General features: G+C 38.4%; 2 protein-coding genes across 76 annotated transcripts in view; one reads left to right on the plus strand and one right to left on the minus strand.

Annotated features, from left to right (window-relative positions):
* Positions 1-13,928, plus strand: part of CLVS1 (clavesin 1) — a 536,782-nt gene extending 522,854 nt beyond the window's left edge. For all 4 annotated transcript variants that reach the window (XM_024447079.2, XM_017013141.2, XM_017013142.3 and 1 more), the window contains one exon: positions 11,754-13,928. In XM_024447079.2, coding sequence (XP_024302847.1) covers positions 11,754-11,841 — 88 coding nt within the window. In that variant the 3' untranslated portion in view covers positions 11,842-13,928. The remainder of the gene's footprint in view (positions 1-11,753) is intronic.
* ASPH (aspartate beta-hydroxylase) overlaps positions 12,855-20,349 on the minus strand; it is a 214,037-nt gene continuing 206,542 nt past the window's right edge. For all 72 annotated transcript variants that reach the window (NM_001413901.1, NM_001413909.1, NM_001413895.1 and 69 more), the window contains one exon: positions 12,855-15,808. In NM_001413901.1, coding sequence (NP_001400830.1) covers positions 15,658-15,808 — 151 coding nt within the window. In that variant the 3' untranslated portion in view covers positions 12,855-15,657. The remainder of the gene's footprint in view (positions 15,809-20,349) is intronic.

Here is a 20,349-nt window from a genome sequence, read left to right on the forward strand (position 1 = left end):
AGGATACAGATATACAAGAAGAAAATTTATATTTAGGCTAATCTGGCAATGCCAAAGAAGATCCACTAATATACTGTCATTTGACTAAAAAAACATAATTATGAAACCTACTTTTTACCGGTAACACTAGCCATCCTTTTCAAACTCATCCTGCAGAGGGAATGAGTCATCAACATTTCGTCAGCCATTGCCAACTTCTGGCATTTTTCTACCTGCTTCAGAACACCACAGTTTGTTCTACCAAAGTAACTGCACTGAGCATGTGCACCCCAGCTTTAGAGGGAGTATGATAATTAGGGATGCTGTGAAACTGACTGGCAGCTCTTTGTGCCAGTCTAATTCTAATGGAAGATGACTGTTCAAAGCGGGTGGTGTAAGCACCTGTAGTCATTTTCTGTTATGATTGGTAGTAGTAAAAAAGCTTCCAGAAATATCCACGTGATTGAAATGCATGGATTTAACACTCCTTCTGACCATCTCAGAACACCTGAACCCACACCAAAAACGTATGTAGTAGCGCATTCCACTCCTCAAAAGTCAATAAACCTATACGCATAGAATTTTGAAACTCTAAGGCTTCTATACATCTCATGCTGATACCTGGGGTTCCTGTAAAGGATTTGGGCACAACGCAAGCTAGTTATGACCTTGAATGCTCTCACACTTCAAGCTATGAGGGTGACTCTGTTTAACGGAATTTTTTTGTTGAATTGCTCAGTAAAATTAAGAATAACTTTATAATATAAATAATCCACTGCTCCATATCTATTTTCTCAGTCTTTTGTATTTTCCTTGATTTTCTTCAAGTGGGTAAATATGGCTATCTCTGTTATCAGATATGGCAGAGTATCAATAGTTTATGCTCAGAAATATGATACTCTAGGAAGTGTTGTAAAATGATAAACACTTCTAATTTAAATAATTTCTCCTTCAAAGAGCTCCAAGCACTTTATTGTATCTTTTATCTTTCATGGCCCTGTGGAGAATATGGCAATCATTTATCCTCATTTTACAGATGAAAAACTGAGATGAGTTAGCTAATATGGCAGGAATGCATAGTTTCATAAAGAGCAATAAGCCCTTTTGTAGGTAAATTAAGCAGAGTGTCCAGCTGCGGCTGCCAGTTTCCACGGTGGCCTTCCCTGGCTCCCTTCTCCCATTCCTTCCTCCCCATCTGCAAGTTCCAGGATGGGTGTGTCTTCTGGCAGCTGAACTGTGTTCTCAGTTAAGTCTAATCCACTCCCTTTCTCTACTCTCATCAATGTTCAGTGTTGATGGATTGCAGTTCTTTATAGATGCTGCCAGATATTTGGGTGAATGCAGTACATTTAGAAGACAGGATCTTGAAGTATTATTAAATAATACCCTGCTGGTGATTAGGGATAAAGTACGATTCTATAACCTATACATTCTTAGAAAACTTTTTTCTCAATAATGATCTATTTTTTATTTCATTTGCTGCGCCTAAAACAAACATTTTATAAATTAACAGCTGATTAATGTAAACTATTGGATTCATTAACATCAATGAGAGAAATGGTTCTATGAGAACTTCAATATTAACATTTACTAATGTGAATATGCATGTTTATGCCCTTTGGTTTCTTACCAAGTTATAGGTATTTTTTGTACAGTATAGCACAAGAGATAGTGCTTAAGAATGTGGACTGTAGAATCAGATCTGGGTTCCCGTTCTAGTTCCACAACTTACTGTGGAATCTTGCACATATTCATTACCTTCTTGGAGGCTCAGTTTCCTGATTTGCAAAATGGAATTAACAATACCCAGCTTAGATTATTGTGAAGATTTATTTATTGATTGATTGATTTGTTTTTATTTTTTACACTACAACCATGACAGATGAAGATTGTCGTGAAGATTAAATAAAGATAATGCGACGAAATACTTAGTGCAGAACCTGGCATGTAGTAAGTGTTCAACAAATGGTTGTTGATGATGATGATGAAGAACAGCTGTGGAGATACGAAACACTCCTGTAGATATTTCTTAAAACATCCAAATAAAGTGTATATTGAAATCATCTTTTCCAAAATGGTATCAGACTGATTTCGATATGTCAAACAAGGGTTACTGAGTGCTGCTTAGAATTGTGGTGCACATCTGGAATATGCTTGGTGATTACAATTCAGACTTAAAAGAGCTTGGTAGGAGCTACTCTCTGCAGCAGGAAATTGCAACCTGAGGGCAGACTACTTGTAGCAATACAATACTTTAAAGAAACTAAAACGTTTTTAACAAGGACACAGGCAAATGGCTATTAAGTAGCACGTGGCAGCTCTCAATTTAACGTTTAGAAATTTATGGAAGTCAGGCTGGGCACAGTGGCTCACACCTGTAATCCCAGCACTTTGGGAGGCCAAGGTGGGTGGATCACTTGAGATCGGGAGTTCAAGACTAGCCTGGCCAACATGGTGAAACCCCATCTCTACTAAAAATAAAAAATTACCTGGATGTGGTGGTGCACTCCTGTAGTCCCAGCTACTCGGTTGGTTGAGGCAGGAGAATGCTTTGATGCTTTGAACCTGAGAGGCAGAGGTTGCAGTGAGCCAAGATTGCGCCACTGCACTCCATCCTGGGCAACAAAAGCAAAACTCCGTCTCAAAAAAAAAAAAAAGAAGGAAAGAAATTTATGGAAATGAAAAACATTTATAAAAGGTAAATTGGGCCGGGCTCTGTGGCTCACGCCTGTAATCTCAGCACTTTGGGAGGCTGAGGCCTGTGCATCACCAGGTCAAGAGATTGAGACCATCCTGGCCAACACGGTGAAACCCCATCTCTACTAAAAATACAAAAAATTAGCTGAGCGTGGTAGCGCATGCCTGTAGTCCCAGCTACTCGGGAAGCTGAGGCAGGAGAATCCAGGGGCGGAGACTGCAGTGAGCCGAGATCACACCACTGCACTCCAGCCTGGGTGACAGAGCGAGATCCGTCTCAAAAAAAAAAAAAAAAGTAGGTAAATCGGCTTTGGCTCATGTCTGTAATCCCAGCACTTTGGGAGGCTGAGGTGGGTGGATCACTTGAGGTCAGGAGTTCAGGACCAGCCTGGCCAACATGGTGAAACCCCGTCTCTACTAAAAATACAAAATTAGCTGAGCGTGGTGGCGGGTGCCTGTAATCCCAGCTACTCTACTTGAGGCTGAAGCAGGAGAATAGCTTGAACCTGGAAGGCAGAGGTTACAGTGAGCCGAGATCGCACCACTGCACTCCAGCCTGGGCAACAGAGCCAGACTCCATCTCCAAAAAAAAAAAGAAAAAAAAAAGAAAGAAAGAAATTATTTTGACTCATGAAGCCTAAATGTATTGGGCACATCCTAACTTTAGGAAAGGCCAAACTTCTGTAATTTTGAGACTTTCTAGGCTTTTCTAGAAGGAAGTTAAAGCAAATGTTGAGATAGAGAAGAGTTAGACTATTTGAACAAATTAACTTAAAGTGTGAATTGTAGAATTTTGAAAAATAAAATCTAATTATTTTCAAGAACAATTGGTGATTGTAGTCCAGTCTAGTAGTATGCACAGAAACTTGTGGCTAAAAAATGTGATCTTGTTCAAGATCATTGTTTTACATGGGATCAGAGTAGCTGTGTGAACTGCTTCATACTGGCACAGCAAGTTAGTGACATGAGTGACAAGAAGAGGTGCCCAAACCATAGCCCAGTGCTCTTAGTTTATCTACCTCTCAGAGGGCCCTTATCATGAGCAGCCAGTCATCTGCAGTCATAAAGTTAATGTTAATTTTGCTATAACAACTTCAAAAAGAACTTATTTTTTAAGTAGTTTATATTACTTCCTGAAGCTTTTTAAATAAGAAATGCATAATTTATTAAGAGAGATTAAATTCAAACTTTCTTTATATTGCACTACATGTTGCAATAGCAATTTCCCTGGATGCTGTAACCTCACAGAAGAGGGAAACTAATATTAAAGAGCTAAGAATGCTAACTGTTCTTCAGGTGTCCTTAAAACTAGGTGGAGTTAGCCTGATCAAAAAAGCAGGAGAAATAATATTTTGGCTAAACAAAATAGCATGAACACTTACAAATGGAAAAAGCACAGATGATTGTTACTTCCTCGAGTTTTATTCATATTATTTATTTATTTTGAGATAAAATTACAAGTACAATTTCACTTTTATCTAAATGATAACAGGTGAATGGAGTCTAACCTAAAGTTTCTTTCCAGTTAGAATTTAAATAACAACAGTGATACTAAGGACATGGGTCTCCTATCATGGGGGCAGGAGGAGGGTTTTGTGAGTGTCAGTTTGAGAACTAAATGAGCTAATACATGGAAAGGGTTTAGAACAGCGAGTGCTAGTGATGACAGACACTGATGTTGTCACCAAAACTCTTTAACATGACTATAGATTTCTAAGTAAGGATTACTAGATTATTCTAGGTTCAGCCACAAGCATAATGGAGTAAATGAGGCTCCAGACCAATGCTATCCAATGGAAAAACGTGAGTCACATATGTAATTTTGAGTTGTCTAATAGACATGTTACAAAAATACAGAGAAACAGGTGAAATTAATTTTAATGTCTTCTTTAACCTAATGTATCCACCTAGTGTATAATTTCACTGCGTGAGTTAAATAAATATTAATGAGATAGTTTACATTTTTTTGGTACTAAAAGTCATTAAAATTTGGTGTGTACATTACCTTTTACAGTCCATCTTCATTCAACCTTGCCCAAGTTCAAGTCCTCAGTAGCCTCTTGTGGTCAGGGCTGTATACCGGACAGTGCAGCTCTTCATGAAAGCCACGCACTTCCATCCTTTCTGAAGGTGCACATGTTTTTTTGGGGGGGTCTTTCTTCTTTGTTACAAGATGGGCAGTCAATGTCCAAGCCCACTGCATTTTGGTAGAAATACATGATACATGAGTTATAGTACATATAGGCAAGAGCTGGGAATTGAATATTTGGCTCACTCTAAAAATAGTTTGCTTCAAAATAATAGAATATTTATTTTTTTGGACTGGTTTTCTTATATTTCCAGTTCAGTAAATTGTGGAAAATTTTATTGTCAAAGCAGAGAGAGGTTTACTTATTATTTTGTTTACTTTGATAGGGAAAAGATTTGCTGCTTAGGCTTCTCTTAAAAAAATTATTTATCGGGTTCAGTAAACATTAATTGTTCCCAGTGAGCACAATCATTTTGCCTGCTAGGATGATTCTGATTATGAAGAGTTTGGTAGCTGAACAGAAGAATACATGTCCTACAAATATTCCTTAAGACTCCTTATCAAGGTCACTATCGAATGCATTATAGTAGAAAGAAACGTCGTAGCTTTACACAGTTGAAAACAACCATAACTATATTGCACTGAAGCTACATAAATAATTATTAAGCAGATGGAAATTTCTGTGTTACTTCTAAAAATTTAAAGATATTAAGTAAGGTAATAAGGTTAGCTTTTATGTGAAATTATTTTATCAATTATTTTGATTTTTTAAAATACTAGACTTCATCCATTTTGAAATGTTAGTTTTTCATTTATTAATCACATTACATAATGTGTCAGTACACACAATTGTCTCTTGTAAGTCTTTTAGTGGTGCCATGGAAATTTTGAGTTTGATTCATGCTTTGTGGCTAAATTTGCAAATGAATATCAATCAATATTTCTGGACCTTAATTTTCTTATCTGCAAATAGAGAAGAATAATAAGAGCTAAAAAGAATAAATGTGTATACCCAGCTGACACAGAGCTAAACACTTTCCACACCTTAATTTATCTAATCCTCATCATCCCCAGCACCCACGATGTGGCCACTATCCTATCTTCATTTTTACACATGAGGAGGCCGAATTCACCCAAGATCACAAAGCAAGTGATGGACCCATCATTCTTCAAGCCCAGGCCAGAGCTTCTCTGGGGAATTTCCTTGATACTTAAAGTTATTTGGGGGAAAAATCTGAGCAGAATTACTTAGAATTATTTGAAGACACCTTTATAAAAACTTATTTCTTCCTGTTTAGAAGCCTTTACATAGGCTCACTATTAGGCAATTCTGTGTTATTCCATAAAACCAAGTTTGTTGTTGACTTTAAGAAAGAAAGCTGGTACTGTGGAATAGTTCCTTATGGAATGATGATGTTGGTCCTGGAAAACAGATGGGTAGAACCTGATTCAAATGCAGGTTTGACTGAATCACTCCTGAGGTTCCTTGTAGCTGGGTGCTCTATGACTCTTGGTGAATGCCTGGGGTTGGAGAGCAGCATTCCTGTCCCTTTGTTGGGGTCCACATAGCTCAAGAAGGCAATGCAGGGCATTAGTAAGAAGAAGAAAAGGTGAGTGTTAGCTGTTGAGATAAGGTAGCTAAATAAATTTTTGAACATAAAAGTAGACCTGAGAGCAGAACTCTCAGTCCAGTTGTAGGTCTGTGCAGAATGGACTGAATCATGGCCAACATTTTCCATTTTCATCTCGTTCTTCATGAGCATTGATCACAACTAGAATCAGTAAAAATTAAACCACAGCCATAGATGCTTAATGAAGTGGGGAAAGTTCCAATTTTGGGGAAGAAAGGGGAAAGAGAGAAAGGGAGATGGTGAAGTAAGGGAGGGTAGAATAAAGGAGGGTGGAGAGAGAGAGAATAGCAGGAAAACAAAAAGTGGCTATCTAGGCTAGAATGAAGCCTTGTTAGAGTTGCCTACTACACCACTGAGATAATGATGGCTGAAATAACTCAAATCACTCCCCTGCCTGACCTTGGGGTTAAGCTGGCTTTCAGTGTTGGAAAGAGAACCCAAGAGAAATGTTTGTTTTAGCAGACATGTTAAGCTTCTTGTGAGAAGACAAAGCCACCGAATGAAGAGATTACCACCAAGAGTGATCTGGACAACAAAGCCTCAAAGCAAGTGGCTTCTCGATAGTTAATGTACTAAGTGCAGAATTCCTAAGCACTCTGTTCAGAAGTGGTGGAGACATGTTTCAGTGAGCAGTTGATTGGTCTTCCCTGAGAGCATTTTGAATCAGCCAAATATACTGAGGGCAAGATTTAAAAGGTTGTATCTCTTGGCTTTATTTCTTTTTTTCTAGAGGTTTTGAAAAGCAACATTTACTTTCTAATTTTTTCCAGTGAATTTAAAATACTTCATAACATAATGTGCTACTTATATCAAATGTTTATTGTGTGACCAGGTAACTAGAATTATGTCATGCTGAAAGTAAAAAGACTGTATGGTCATCTTCTCACTCAGGGAAAATGTAAACCAGGAAAATAAAAAGTTATGTTTGGTTCCTCGGCCTCACTATCTCAGAGTTGTCTTATTGCTACTCACCATTCAACCATGGCACACAGTTTATTGGCAGAGTTAAGAGAGCCTGCATTCTGGGTCTGTGCTGCCAGTACATCTATTAGAAGAAATCATGTAGATCCCAATTTGACTCAATGTGGAGGGGGAAGTGAAAGTTGGCTACCTGAATAAGAACTATGAATAATGTGTGAAAGATAATTTTTTTCTTCATTCCTTTCCTTTCATGTCTAACACCTTCCCTCCCCAAAACTGCCTCTCCTCTGACTGGGTAATGGGGGTGCCTGTCACAATGATTTTAAGTCTGTTTGTGGGTCTATGGCTGGATAACTGAAGCAGTGTTTCCACAAAAGCATAAAGGTTTTGGCACATTGCTCATAGTCCGTTGCATACAGCAGATGTTCACAAATCTTTCTTAGTGTGAGTGTGTGAATAAGTGATTTTTAAAAAACTCATTATTTGAGAATTTGATTTTCTTTTCATAGTGGCTCCCAAAACAGGGAAAGGGGAAGTTTTGAAACAGATCCAAGACACAAAAGTCCCAGATAATCATTTGGATGGGTAACAAATTTCAAGATCCAAAAGGATGGAGATAGATTGGAAACATGAGGCAAATTCAAGAAAATGAAATTTAATACCCAACCATGTACCTTTGAGATGGGAGAGAAATTGTTAACAGCAGCATGGCAGCATGTGTAAATACAGCCAGATTTCCCTTTGGTTGTGTTGTATCAGTGCCAGAAAGGCTAATGCAACTCTAAATTGCCTCAACAGAAGCAAACAGAGCAAAAAACAAACCAAAAATCAAGAAAGTGAAGCAATTATTTTATTCTGAGGTCACACCAGGAGTCTATGGGCAACCCAGCTAGTTGATGAAGAGATACAGGATAGTGCTAAGGTGGCCAGTTTTAGAAACCTTGGCACAAGAGGAATCTGGCTAGCCTTGGCTGGGCAGGTGTGGGAGGGCTAAAAGGTACTTGTGTCTACTCTGGTGGCTCCAGGAGAAAGAATCAGAAATTGTACATAGAAGTTTAGAAAGGGCAGAGCTGAGTTCAATGTAAGGAAGAATTTTCTAGCTGAGTTGACTGTTTAGGGGCATGGAGGAGCAGGTTCCTCAAGTTAGTTATGTTCAAGAAGAGGCTGCACAACTCCTTACTGAAGATTTCCTATCAGGTTGGTCTAGATGAGTCACTGTTTCCCTCTAACTCTGTGGCTGTGGTTCTCATGCCATGTTGTGAAATAAAGTGAAGTCATATGACAGAAGGTAAATGGAGTTTAAGGTCTGTAAAAGTAGATGGCCATCAGTATTTTCCTTTTCCACAGGGTCCGTAGGTCAAAGCAGGAAGGCAGCTGTCCAAGGTGCTGGAGGGAGGTTGGCCTGTGTCTCTGGTTGTGCTCTCTTGGTTGTCTTCATGCTTGCTGTTTGTTTTAATGCCTCTGGATTTTCTGCTTTCCTGTTCCTCGTACAAACCTACACTTCTCCCTTCCCCACATGCACACTGGGCCTTAAACTAAAACAAAGAGAAAAATGCACTGGAAATGTGTTAGGGGGCTGGGGCTAAACTACAACCTAGAGCTTCCTTCCTCTGCCCTATCCCAGCAATAAGTGAGTCCATGAGTCCATTTTGCTTTCAAAGGTTCAGCTTGGTATATAAGGTTGGACTGTTTGAATGGATTGATAGTTACAGTAGAAATAAATTTTTTTGAGACACTTGTACTGATTTGCTTCTTGATTTCTTAATTTTATCCTTTCTACAGTACATACATATCTTGAAAGGAGACAGGAATCTTAGGCAAAACAACAGTGATTTTTATGGTGAGGTGGAAGGAACACTCGATGTTTTAGCTAAACGCTTCTGTGGCCTTTGGTATACCCAGGAACTGTGGGTTGGTAATAAACCTGTCAACATCTCCACTTTCTATTTGTGTTGCCTTCTATACATCATATGACTTCTCAGTCCCTTAGTTTTTTAGATGGAAAAAACTAAGGGTTGTGAAAATGAAATGTTAATATATGTCAATGTAAATACATGTTAATATACAACTATGGGTTATGAAAATGAAATAAGCTAATATAGGTCAAGAACTTCTTAGAACAATACCATGCACAAACATAGTGTTTTAGTATGTTGTGTTGAGGGGGTCCTCAAGACCACCCTTTTCTGTATTTGATAATTTTGATAATGTCTTCCTAACTTACTAGAAAGACCCACAGGACACAGAAAAGTTGTTAAGACTGACAGTTGTGGTTTACTACAGAAAAGGATATAGATTGCAATCAGGAATGGAAAGCCATGCATAAGGAGGAGTCCAGGAAGGACCAGCTGTAAGTTTCCAGTTGTCCTTCCAGTAAAATCACATGAACAGAACTTAATTCTCTTAGCAATGATGTGTGACAACATCTGCAAAGTGTTGTCAACCAAGGAGGTTCATCTGTGCCCTGGTGTCCAGGTTTTTATTGGGGGGGGGGTGTCAGTCTCATGGGCATGCAGTACCTTTGTGACTGACCTTAACAGCTCAGTCCTCAGCCTTCCACCATTCCCTCTTGTTACCAGGCCCCACCACTTACTTACTCAAAGTTAGTCTTTGGGTCAGGGGTTTCCTCAGTATTGTCCCTTCATGGTTCATCAGAAAGATGTTACCAGAAAGTGGTCCCAATTCAGACCCCAAGAGAGGGGTTCTTGGATCTCATGCAAGAAAGAATTCAGGGGAAGTCCATAGAGTAAAGTGAAAGCAAGTTTATTAAGAAAGTAAAGGAATAAAAGAATGTCTACACCATAGAAAGAGCAGCTCTGAGGGCTGCTGGTTGCCCATTCTTACGGTTATTTCTTGATTATATGCTAAGCAAGGGGTAGATTATTCATGCCTCCGCTTTTTAGACCATATAGGTTAACTTCCTGATGTTGCTATGGCATCTGTAAACTGTCATGGTGCTGGTGGGAGTGTAGCAGTGAAGATGGCTGGAAATCACTCTCATCGCCGTCTTGGTTTCGGTGGGTTTTGTCTGGCTTTTTTACTACAACGTGTTTTATCAGCAAGGACTTTATGATCTGTATCTTTTGCTAACCTCCTATCTCATTCTGTGACTAAGAATGCCTTAACCTTCTGGGAATGCATCTCAGCAGGCTTTAGCCTTATTTTACCCAGCCCCTATTTAAGATGGAGTTGCTCTGGTTCAAGCACCTCTGACACTCTTACTGCCTTAAAAGGGTCAAACTGATACAGTGTGACCTAAAGCCCAGACATACAAAACCAAGCATGCACTATAAATCACACTGTTAGCATAAACTACTTGGCATGAAGTCAGGTCTCAGATATACAAAGATCTCCTTATCAGGTAGACTACTCTAAGGGCTCAGAGGAGCCAAAGGCCAGTCTTGAAAACTTGTAATGTGTAGGGTTTGGGCACCCCAGGTCTACCGAGTTAACAATTTACTGCACATATATGTAAGTTTTACTTATTTGAACAATTTAACCATTTTCATGATAATTTGTTTTTAGTTGTGAACATTTATTAAATATCTACTGCGTAGCTCTTTTTATAACCTTTTCTCTGTAAGCTGGAAAATAATTTGGTTTAATTCATATTATAAACTTCTTAGAAAAAAATCATTATTACTCCAGTATAAAAGGACACATCAAAAACTAATGATCATTACTAGTATTGCAATAGTGGTTGGTCATAAGAGTGCTTCATAAGTTTTAACTATAATTCCATGCCAAATGCTCTATGCATATTATTAGTTGTAGTCGTCTTTATCAACAACTGTGGGAAGTAGGTAATACTTCTAGTATACAGGTGAGAGAATCAAGGTCCAGAGAGTTTTAAGAACTCCCCCAAGCTTCCCAGCCAGTAAGGGACAGAGTCTAACTTTACCATCTGATTCATGGTCTTAACATCATGCATGGTAGTTTCCAATGACTCTGAGAGACAAAAGGTTTAAAAGGTACACTAAAACATTAAAAATTCAACAAACTTTATATATCTGAAGGTACACAGAATATTTAGATGCTGGGGCAGAGTGTGGCTAGAATACATATGTCCCTTTTACCAAGAGAAGAGATCACTGCAAAGATTATTCCAGTACTCCAAAATGCTTTTTTGCCGTAAAAATGTGGTTTAGCAAGCAAAAGAAGTAAGAAAAACAGAGATACGAAAGGGAATATATTATGTAGTTATTTTGAGTGTCTTTATTTCTTATTTTTATTTTGGAGACAGGGTCTACCTCTGTCACCCAGGCTGGAGTGCAGTGGCACAATATGGCTCACTGCAGCCTCAAACTCCTGGACTCAAGCGATCCTCCCACCTCAGCCTCCTGAATAGCTGGGACTACTGGCATGTGCCACTGCACCCAGTTAATTTTTGAGTGTCTATTAAAAAGAGAAATATAAAATCCGGATGTCTTCAAAGGTTCCAAAATTGTCACCATGAATTGTTTGTAATTCTGTCTTTTTCCCTCCCCTCTTGTTAGATCTCAGTCTGTGGTAGAAGCTGGGACCCTGAAACATGAGGAGAAGGGAGAGAATGAGAACACCCAGCCACTCCTGGCTCTGGACTGAACCCTGAGTCACCCCAATGCTCCTGCACACTGGCCTTCAGTGGTATCAGCCACCCAGGAAGCACATGCACAACTGACCCATGCAGACACGTGTGTTCTGCTTGACACAAGGTCCTCCACTCCTGAACCCCTGCAGTGACTGTCACCAGCCATCGGTCTGAGCAGCCAAAGTTGGACAAAGACTTGAGAGATGCTTTTTTTTTCCCCCAGTGAGGGGACTGGAGGATGATGCAAGGCATTTATGTAAAAAAGATTCTCCCTCCTTTCATATTTATTGTAGTAAATTGAAAAAATAAAGACTAAATTTGATGGACACACTGCATTAGGACAAGAATTTTTCTGAGGTATCACACAGGGACCCTCTCCAGTTTTTGAAAATTAAGTGCATTTCCAAGTAAATGTATCAGAGTTAAACTGTACAGACACCACTGTCAAGTTTCATGTAGTACAAAGCCCTGAGACAATAGTATCTCCAGTAATTTCCATTCTTACTGAATTATTTCCTTTGACCTCATCACCAGCATCGAATTGTTCAGCCTAAGAGCATGTTCTCATAGGTCTGGGTATTTGCAAAGTTTGCTTATTTTGATGATATCCTGCAAAAAATTATTTTGATGTCACATCTCTTGTCAGGTCACTAGCTGACTGTCATGAGCTGACGTTAAAGGAAGACACATGGACGTGAAATACGATTATTTCATCTGAGCAATGTGAGTTACCACAGGCAGCTCAAAAGCCCATTAGTGCAGCATGTGTCTGCAGAGGAGATGTCTCATGAAAATCACATGTCAGTGATTAATGAATCCATTCCAGTTGCCTCAACTGGGTCACTACAGCAAAGAAAAGTGCTATCAAACCATTTACCCTTGCCCCCACAACCCTCCTGCAACCATTAAAGATGTGGAGAAAGACCATGGTTGTTGCTGAGAGGGTAAATATTCAATCATGGAGCATGACCCATATGGATGGCTAAATATGCAAGTACTGAAGTAAGAGAAGACTAGAAATGCAGGATGAAATGTCAAAGGTCATTTTATTTACCTAGTCTCCTTAGAAATGGAGTCCCCAACTACTCATTCAAAAGAAATCAGACATAAAATAAACAGACATCATATATGATATCCTTACTTGTGCCATGTTTTCCAAGACCAGTGCATATTTTTAGACATCTCTTATTCGCCCAGCCATCTGCATGACATGGGTATTTATTAGTATTACCAGTTGGTGCTCAAAGTCAAACAAAAATATTTTAGTTAATAATGGGCAGTAAAATATGATTTTACATTATTTTAAATATTTGGGAGAGTTAATTTGTTAGCTAAATAATTCAAGGGAAAGAGATTATTCAACTGGTCATAATCACCCCTGATAATATTATTACTAATCTTAATTATTTATTACATCATCTCTTTCTCAATGGATCTAATGTTTTAATTTTTTCCCCTATTGGTAGAGAACAATAACAGAAGTAATTTTTATATTATACACTTGGAGAAATAAAGTTGAAACAGAATTAAAAATATTTCTCAAACAACTGTATCACAATATAAATTAAACTAATTCATTTTTGTGTAGACATACGAAATCACAAAAATAATAACACTGAAATAATTCTACCAATGCAGTGATGGAAACACTTTTCTTATGTACCAAGACATAGATAGGTAAGAGAAATAAAGAATTGAAGTGAATTAGAAAATCCATTTTATTGCTTGGGTTTAAAATAGTTGTGGGATACAAGTATTTACAATGCTATTGGAGTCAATTATTGACAACACTTTGCAACAGTAATACCATTTCTAGCTTTTCAATTGGCAATACTTAGAACCTTACTGTAGTGACCTGATTTTAAATACCATATTATATTTACTAAGTTAAGAGCTAGTTTTTACTCTCTTCCATAATTTCATTACATGAATGTAAGATGATGGCTCAAAAATGACGACTTATAGTTTGAATTTATGTGTATGCAATATACATATGAGAACCAAATTCAACAAGTGACATGAATGTTACTACATGAACATTGAATTGTATTGCCCTTGTCAGTTATTTCCTCTGTTCAATAAATACTGAAGGTCACAAACACCTTTTTACTTTTCAAGAGTTTGCCTTCTCTTCTCGATTTTAGTAATTAATTTGGATATTTTTCCTCCCATGCCTCTTCATCTGATTTAGTGGGATGTTTTCAATACCAGCAAAACAAAAGAACAGGAAAAGTATTTTGCAAACTCATCTACTGGAAGCTAATCTCCTTAAGGTCAAGCAAAAAGGGTCAATTTCAATTTCAAAGAGCTGTTCTTTAAATGAGATAAAGAAAGTCTCCTTTTGTTTTTAGATGGAAAAGAAAGCACAAGTTTTTTCTACCTGTGAATGAACTTTGGTGACCTATATGTGCCATTCATGCAGCATTTTTGTTCATATTGGCTTAGAATTCAGTGCATGAATATCATTACATTCTTATATCTAACATTCCTAGTTAGCTTTGATTCAAAATATACAAAATCTGATACATGAATACTTTGCTAGATTAATGACTTGATCATCTTTGGAATGAGTAGGCAAGACGATTTTTACCTATTATTTCTATGTTGTGGGTAATGTTAAAACTAAATACAGATGATAATAATTGCTATTTCACAGTGATGTTTAAAATGGCAGAGATTTCTCAAGCCAGAGAGATGGGACAGTCTTCCAAACTCTTTCATCAAAAAGGAAAGTAATCTGGACCTCCTACGCCCAAGAAAAACATCCTGGCATTCTTGGTAACCTTTTACTCTGCCATCCTTAATCTTTCTACAGAATTGTAGCAGAAATCATCTCCAAGACTGAAGAGCTGGCTTCCTGACATTCACATGGATCTACCATAGGCAAAGACACTGTGTTCCCAGCCCTTGCCTCATGGATGGCAAAGCCGCCAGGAGCCAGACACCCTAGCAGCCACCTATCCACCCAACCCTGAAAGAACATAGTTTTATTTCCGTGAACTATACTTTTTCCCCAGAAGCTCTAATAATTGGCATTAAAAAAATTTGCATCTGGGATTTTTATAACAATATAAAATAATTCCATGCTCTTTTTTCGGTGTGAAAAGTTCCTCTTTGAAAGAAATAGGATTTTGTCAATATCTCCACCACTAGCATAGTGAGAAGAGGATCTCAATCAAGATAAAAAAAACCAAACGATTTGAGAGTTGGGATGGGTACAGTTCATAGACACTGACATAATGAGCTCTTTCTTTTTTGTTAGGAAAATAAAACTGCTTTTTTCATGAGTATCTTTTACTAAGAAGAATTAAAAGAGGGAAGTCTGAGTTCCCCAGTAATGCTACCATTAAATAGCTAGAAGTAAAGCATTTATACAGCTTGTCATTAAAATAAACAAAAATGTAGTGGTACATGATGACAAAATAGTCTAGCTACACTAGAAAAATATAACTGCATAGAAAAATTACAAACTAAAGCAATCCATTCACAGTTTCTACATATGTTCTCATTATACATTGAATTAGACCTATTCTATGTGGAAAAAATATCTTTGGCTGGTAAGGTAGAAGCTATCAAATGTTCACCTTAAATACTGGCAGAAGACCAGTGCTGTCATGAGATGACACACAGCAGGGTGTTTCCTAAATGAATTGCAGCGAGGCAAATATTCCCTTTAGTGTCTTCTGACCCTAGGAGGAGGCTTTGAATTACTCGGGCTGCAAGTCAAGGGAATTGACTCTTGGTGTTCGAAATTCTATCCTCACACCCAAGGAGATGGAACCAGAAAGGCAGCCTCTCTCCAGAGTTTCCCAAGCTTGCATGAATTCATGCTAAATTGCTGGAAGGCTGCGTCTCTGCTGTGGTGTCAGTTCCGGATGCCACACATCCACGATGAATATCAGCCGGAAAGATGAGGCATCCTGCCATACCTCGTGCTCAAAGGAGTCATCAAAGATGAGCACCTTGCCTTCCTCCCAGGTCCTGCAGCAGAAAGACAAGGATTCCTGAATATAGTTTTGTGTGGTTCAGATGTCTGAGGATCGATTCCTGTCCATGTGCGAGAACTACCTTTGGTAACAACCTTTGGGACATAACCAAATAACTAGAACATCAAGCCCAAGTTTATTCTTCCCTTGATGATTAGGAAAGAATTTCAGAAATCTTGCTATGAACATCAGTTTTCATTGCTCAGTGCTGGAGATGTACAAACAACAGAGGATTTGTGATGAAGACATATTGGTCTCATTACATGCCTTGCAATTATTCTGTATATTATTACATGTCTTGCAATTATTCTGGTTTAGACATATGGGCAGTGACTGGGTCTCAGGCATCTCTATGCCTCTCAAGACACTTCCAATCAATTGTCTTTTCAGCTCACTCCACTTGTTCAAGTTTCATTTTATGGAAGAAAGGAATCTGCTTAAACACAGTACCATAAAGCAGAAAACTAAATTAGGAGTTTCCTAGCTAGTATTCCAGCTGAAGAAAATGGGCAGATTGGGAATAAATTTTGTTTATATTTTTAGTATCATCTTCTATGCAAGTGGGTTATCCATGGGATATTTTAAATCAATGCTGCAAAACACCCTATAGAGCTTCCAACTTTACCTCATAAGATATCTGTATAGGGACTGCGATCTAAATATAGTGTTAGTCTATTAAGAGAGAAACATACAGGAGGCAGTAACACAATGCTTTTCAAATCCAAAGAGAGTTTATGAGGGACACTGATGGTTCCTTATTTTAAAAATAGATATTAACTGCCAATATATTAAATACCAAGTTATGTTTTTAAAATAAAATTTTTGCTAGAAAATTTTCCTTAGATACTAAAATGCCACTTAAGCCTTCAAAATTTTACATCCTGGATTAGCAAATAATGACTATTATAGCATGGGAAATGCTAGCTTGATTTCAAGTTACTATATTATCATAAAGAGGTTTTCTGTGCGAAAACTAGTGGTGAATTTTTATGTTCCATATCAGGTGATTAACTAATATAAACTGAGCAATACTACATATATTGCAGGGCTTCACAACCGTGGTACTACTGACATCTAGGCTGGATCATTCTCTGTTGTAGGGGCTGTTCCATGCACTATGAGATATTTAGCGGCACCCCTGACCTCCACCCACTGTATGGCAGTAGCATTCCCTATACCATGAGGTTGGTGCAAAAGTAATTGTAGTTTTTGCCATAGTTGTGACAACCAGAAACATCTCTAGTCATTGCCAAATGTCCAGGGTGGGAGCAGGAGCAAAAATCATTCCAGTGGAAAATAACTGACATACTGAATAAGTCTGATAATAAAATTTCCAAGTTATGTAAACTAACAGATAAAGTACTGAGTATTTGCAAGTTGAAAGTTCACTGAAGTTGGGAACTGAACCTCTACTTCTACTACCCACCCTCCCACCTCCACCCAGTGTGCTATCTCATACACTTCGTGATATGGTTTGGATGTGTCCCCACCCAAATCTCATCTTGAATTGTACTCCCATAATTCCCACATGCTGTGGGAAGGACCCGATGAGAGATAATTTGAATCATGGGGGCAGCTTCCCCCATACTGTCCTCATCATAGTGAATAAGTATCATGAGATCTGATGGTTTCATCAGGGGTTCCCGCTTTTGCATCTTCCTTATTTTCTCTTGCCGCCACCAGGTAAGAAGTGCCTTTCAGCTGGATGCGGTGGCTCACGCCTGTAATCTCAGCACTTTGGGAGGCTGAGGACAGTGGATCACAAGGTCAGGGGTTCGAGGCCAGCCTGGCCAACATGGTGAAACCCCCATCTCCACTAAAAATACAAAAATTAGCCAGGCGTGGTAGCGCATGCCTGTAATCCCAGCTACTCAGGAGGCTGAGGCAGGAAATTGCTTGAACCTGGGAGGCAGAGGTTGCAGTGAGCTGAGATCATGCCACTGTGCTCCAGACTGAGTGACAGAGCAAGACTCCATCTCAAAAAAAAAAAAAAAAAAAAAGAAGTGCCTTTTGCCTCCCACCATGATTCTGAGTCCTCCCCAGCCATGTGGAACTGTAAGTGCAATTAAACTTCTTTTTCTTCTCAGTCTCAGGTATGTCTTTATCAGCTGCATGAAAACGGACTAATACACCTTGCCTCATCTCTTGCATTCAACACACACATGTTGATTGGCTCTTCTACAACTCCTCTGAAGGTTTTTAGAGTTCCATTGGAGTTCCATCAAGGGTAGCAAAAGACAGAAATCTATGGACTTAGGAGAAAATGACAGAATATGCATTCATTACCATGCAAAATCTAACTTGAGAAGAAAGGCAAAACCAAGGCGGGGAAATACGCTGACAAGAAAAATCAGTGAAACAGTCCACAGCTTCCACAGTTAGGCAGGCATTTTCTAGGTCTCAGTGTTGTCACCGGGATTAAGCAATGTCAGTGGGTACCACAAACGAGCCTATAATTTATGTAGAAGATGAGGGAGGAAGTGTACTCAAAATGAAAGGCAGTGCACCTATGTTCACAGCAGCACTATTCACAACAGCTAGAAGGTGAGAGCCACCCACGTATCTATCAGTGAATGAACAGACAAACAAAATGTGGTATACACATACAATGGAATATTAATTCAGCCTTAAAAAGGAAGGAAATTTTGACACATGCTACAACATGTATGAACTCAGAGGACATTATGTCAAGTAAAATAAGCCAGACACAAAAAGATAATTACTAGTTGATTCTACACATCTGAGGTCCTAGACTAGTAGTTAAATTCACAGAGAGAGAAAGGAGAAGAGTGGTTGCCAGTGGCCGGTGGGAGGACGGGAATGGGAGTTATTTAATGGGTATAGTTTCAGTTTTGCAAGTTAGAAAGAGTTTTGAGGATAGATCATGTTGATGGTTATACAATATGGATGTACTTAATGTCACTAAACTGCACACCTAAAAATGGATAATATGGTAAATTTTGTTATGTGTATTTTACTACAATTAAATAGAGAAAAAAGGGAAAGGCAAAGGAGAGCATGTGGTAGAGGAGAAAGAAAGAAGCAATACAGGAAGATGGAAATTTATGGTCTTTGAGGGGAATCCTCTTGACCTTGGCATTTATTACTTATGGGACCTAAGGTGAGCTACTTAGCATAATTGATTCTTTGTGTCTTCATCGGCATAATTGATGTGAGGATTAGCATATGATTGGCAATAGTAGATATTCAATTAATGACAGAAAAATGAAAATATAAAGAAAAATAGGGAAAAGATAAAAGACAGAGGTGAAATGTTGGGAAGTGGTATGTTATCAAAAATGACATATGCATCACTCTTTATGATGTTGTCTGCCTTCCTTTGAGACAACTAAAAACTTCCAAGGGAGATGAGATATAAAAACATCTTCAGAGCATCTGTGAAATGTAGTTTGTACAGCAATGACAAGTGATTTTCAAAGTTTTTTGGGTGGCAGAGAACCTGGAAACTACTTAAAACACTAGAAGTAATTAAAATAACTGAATAGAAAATTCTAGCCCACACAAAATGACATTTTTCACTAGATTATGATACGTATAACAAAGCCAAAGATCTAGAATTGTTTTCTGGGAAAAAGGCCTTAAGCATTCCATTCATTAAATTAAATTCCTGAGAACTGGGAAAAGTTATTAGCACCGGAACACGCTGGTCACTCATGGAACATCAGTGCATATAAAAGTAGAACTTAAGAACCACAGGCTTGCAGCTTTCCAGATACATTAAGTACAATACAGATCAGTGTAAACCATTAATTAACCAATTGTATAAATAAGAAATTTGGGGAGGTATACCAAAGGGTTGTTAATTGGCCTGTTTCAGGGTCATAAAACTCTATGGGGAAAGTGAGTGCTGTCGGACTTATTTGCCCTTCCACTTTCTTTCATACATTTCCCCAGAAAATAGCAAAGATAGTCAATAACATAATGTAGATTTTTTAATGTAGATTTCTTCTGAATTCTTAAAAAAATGGTGTCTTTCAATCAGTTATTAGAGATAGAATGACTAAAACTGTAGTCACGATTCACCTAAAAGGGGAAAATGAAGAACAATAAAACATCCTACAAGCCATGTCCAGACTTAAGTGACTCCAGGTTAAATTCGAGATGTATCACATGCTTGGGAAAGGATGTTTTTTTTCCACAACAAAGGGAGAGGAGCATAAAGATGTCAAATCGCTTCTGACTGAAAACCAAAGACTCTCATTAGAATGCAAAGAACTAGTTTTCAGGCCACTTGCTTTGTGAACAAAGCTCCATCAAATAAGATTAAGTTACACTCGAATTACGACATACAATCAGCCCTTTGGAGAAACAATCTTCAGAGCGGCCTGTGACAGAGGTCTGCCTGGAAGTACTGTTACAGCCTTGTCTAAGGACCCAGAGAAGCAGCATTGGGGGTGGGCACTGCTCTCCATCCCTGGAAGCTTGGCTCACTGTTGGAACTTCCTCCTTCCCTTCCTCTCTCTCTTTCTCTCCTCCCACCTAACCCTTTATTTTTTTCAAGACAGGATTTGCTCT

Source organism: Homo sapiens, chromosome 8 (assembly GCF_000001405.40).
Source record: "Homo sapiens chromosome 8, GRCh38.p14 Primary Assembly".
Classification (NCBI taxonomy): domain Eukaryota; kingdom Metazoa; phylum Chordata; class Mammalia; order Primates; family Hominidae; genus Homo; species Homo sapiens.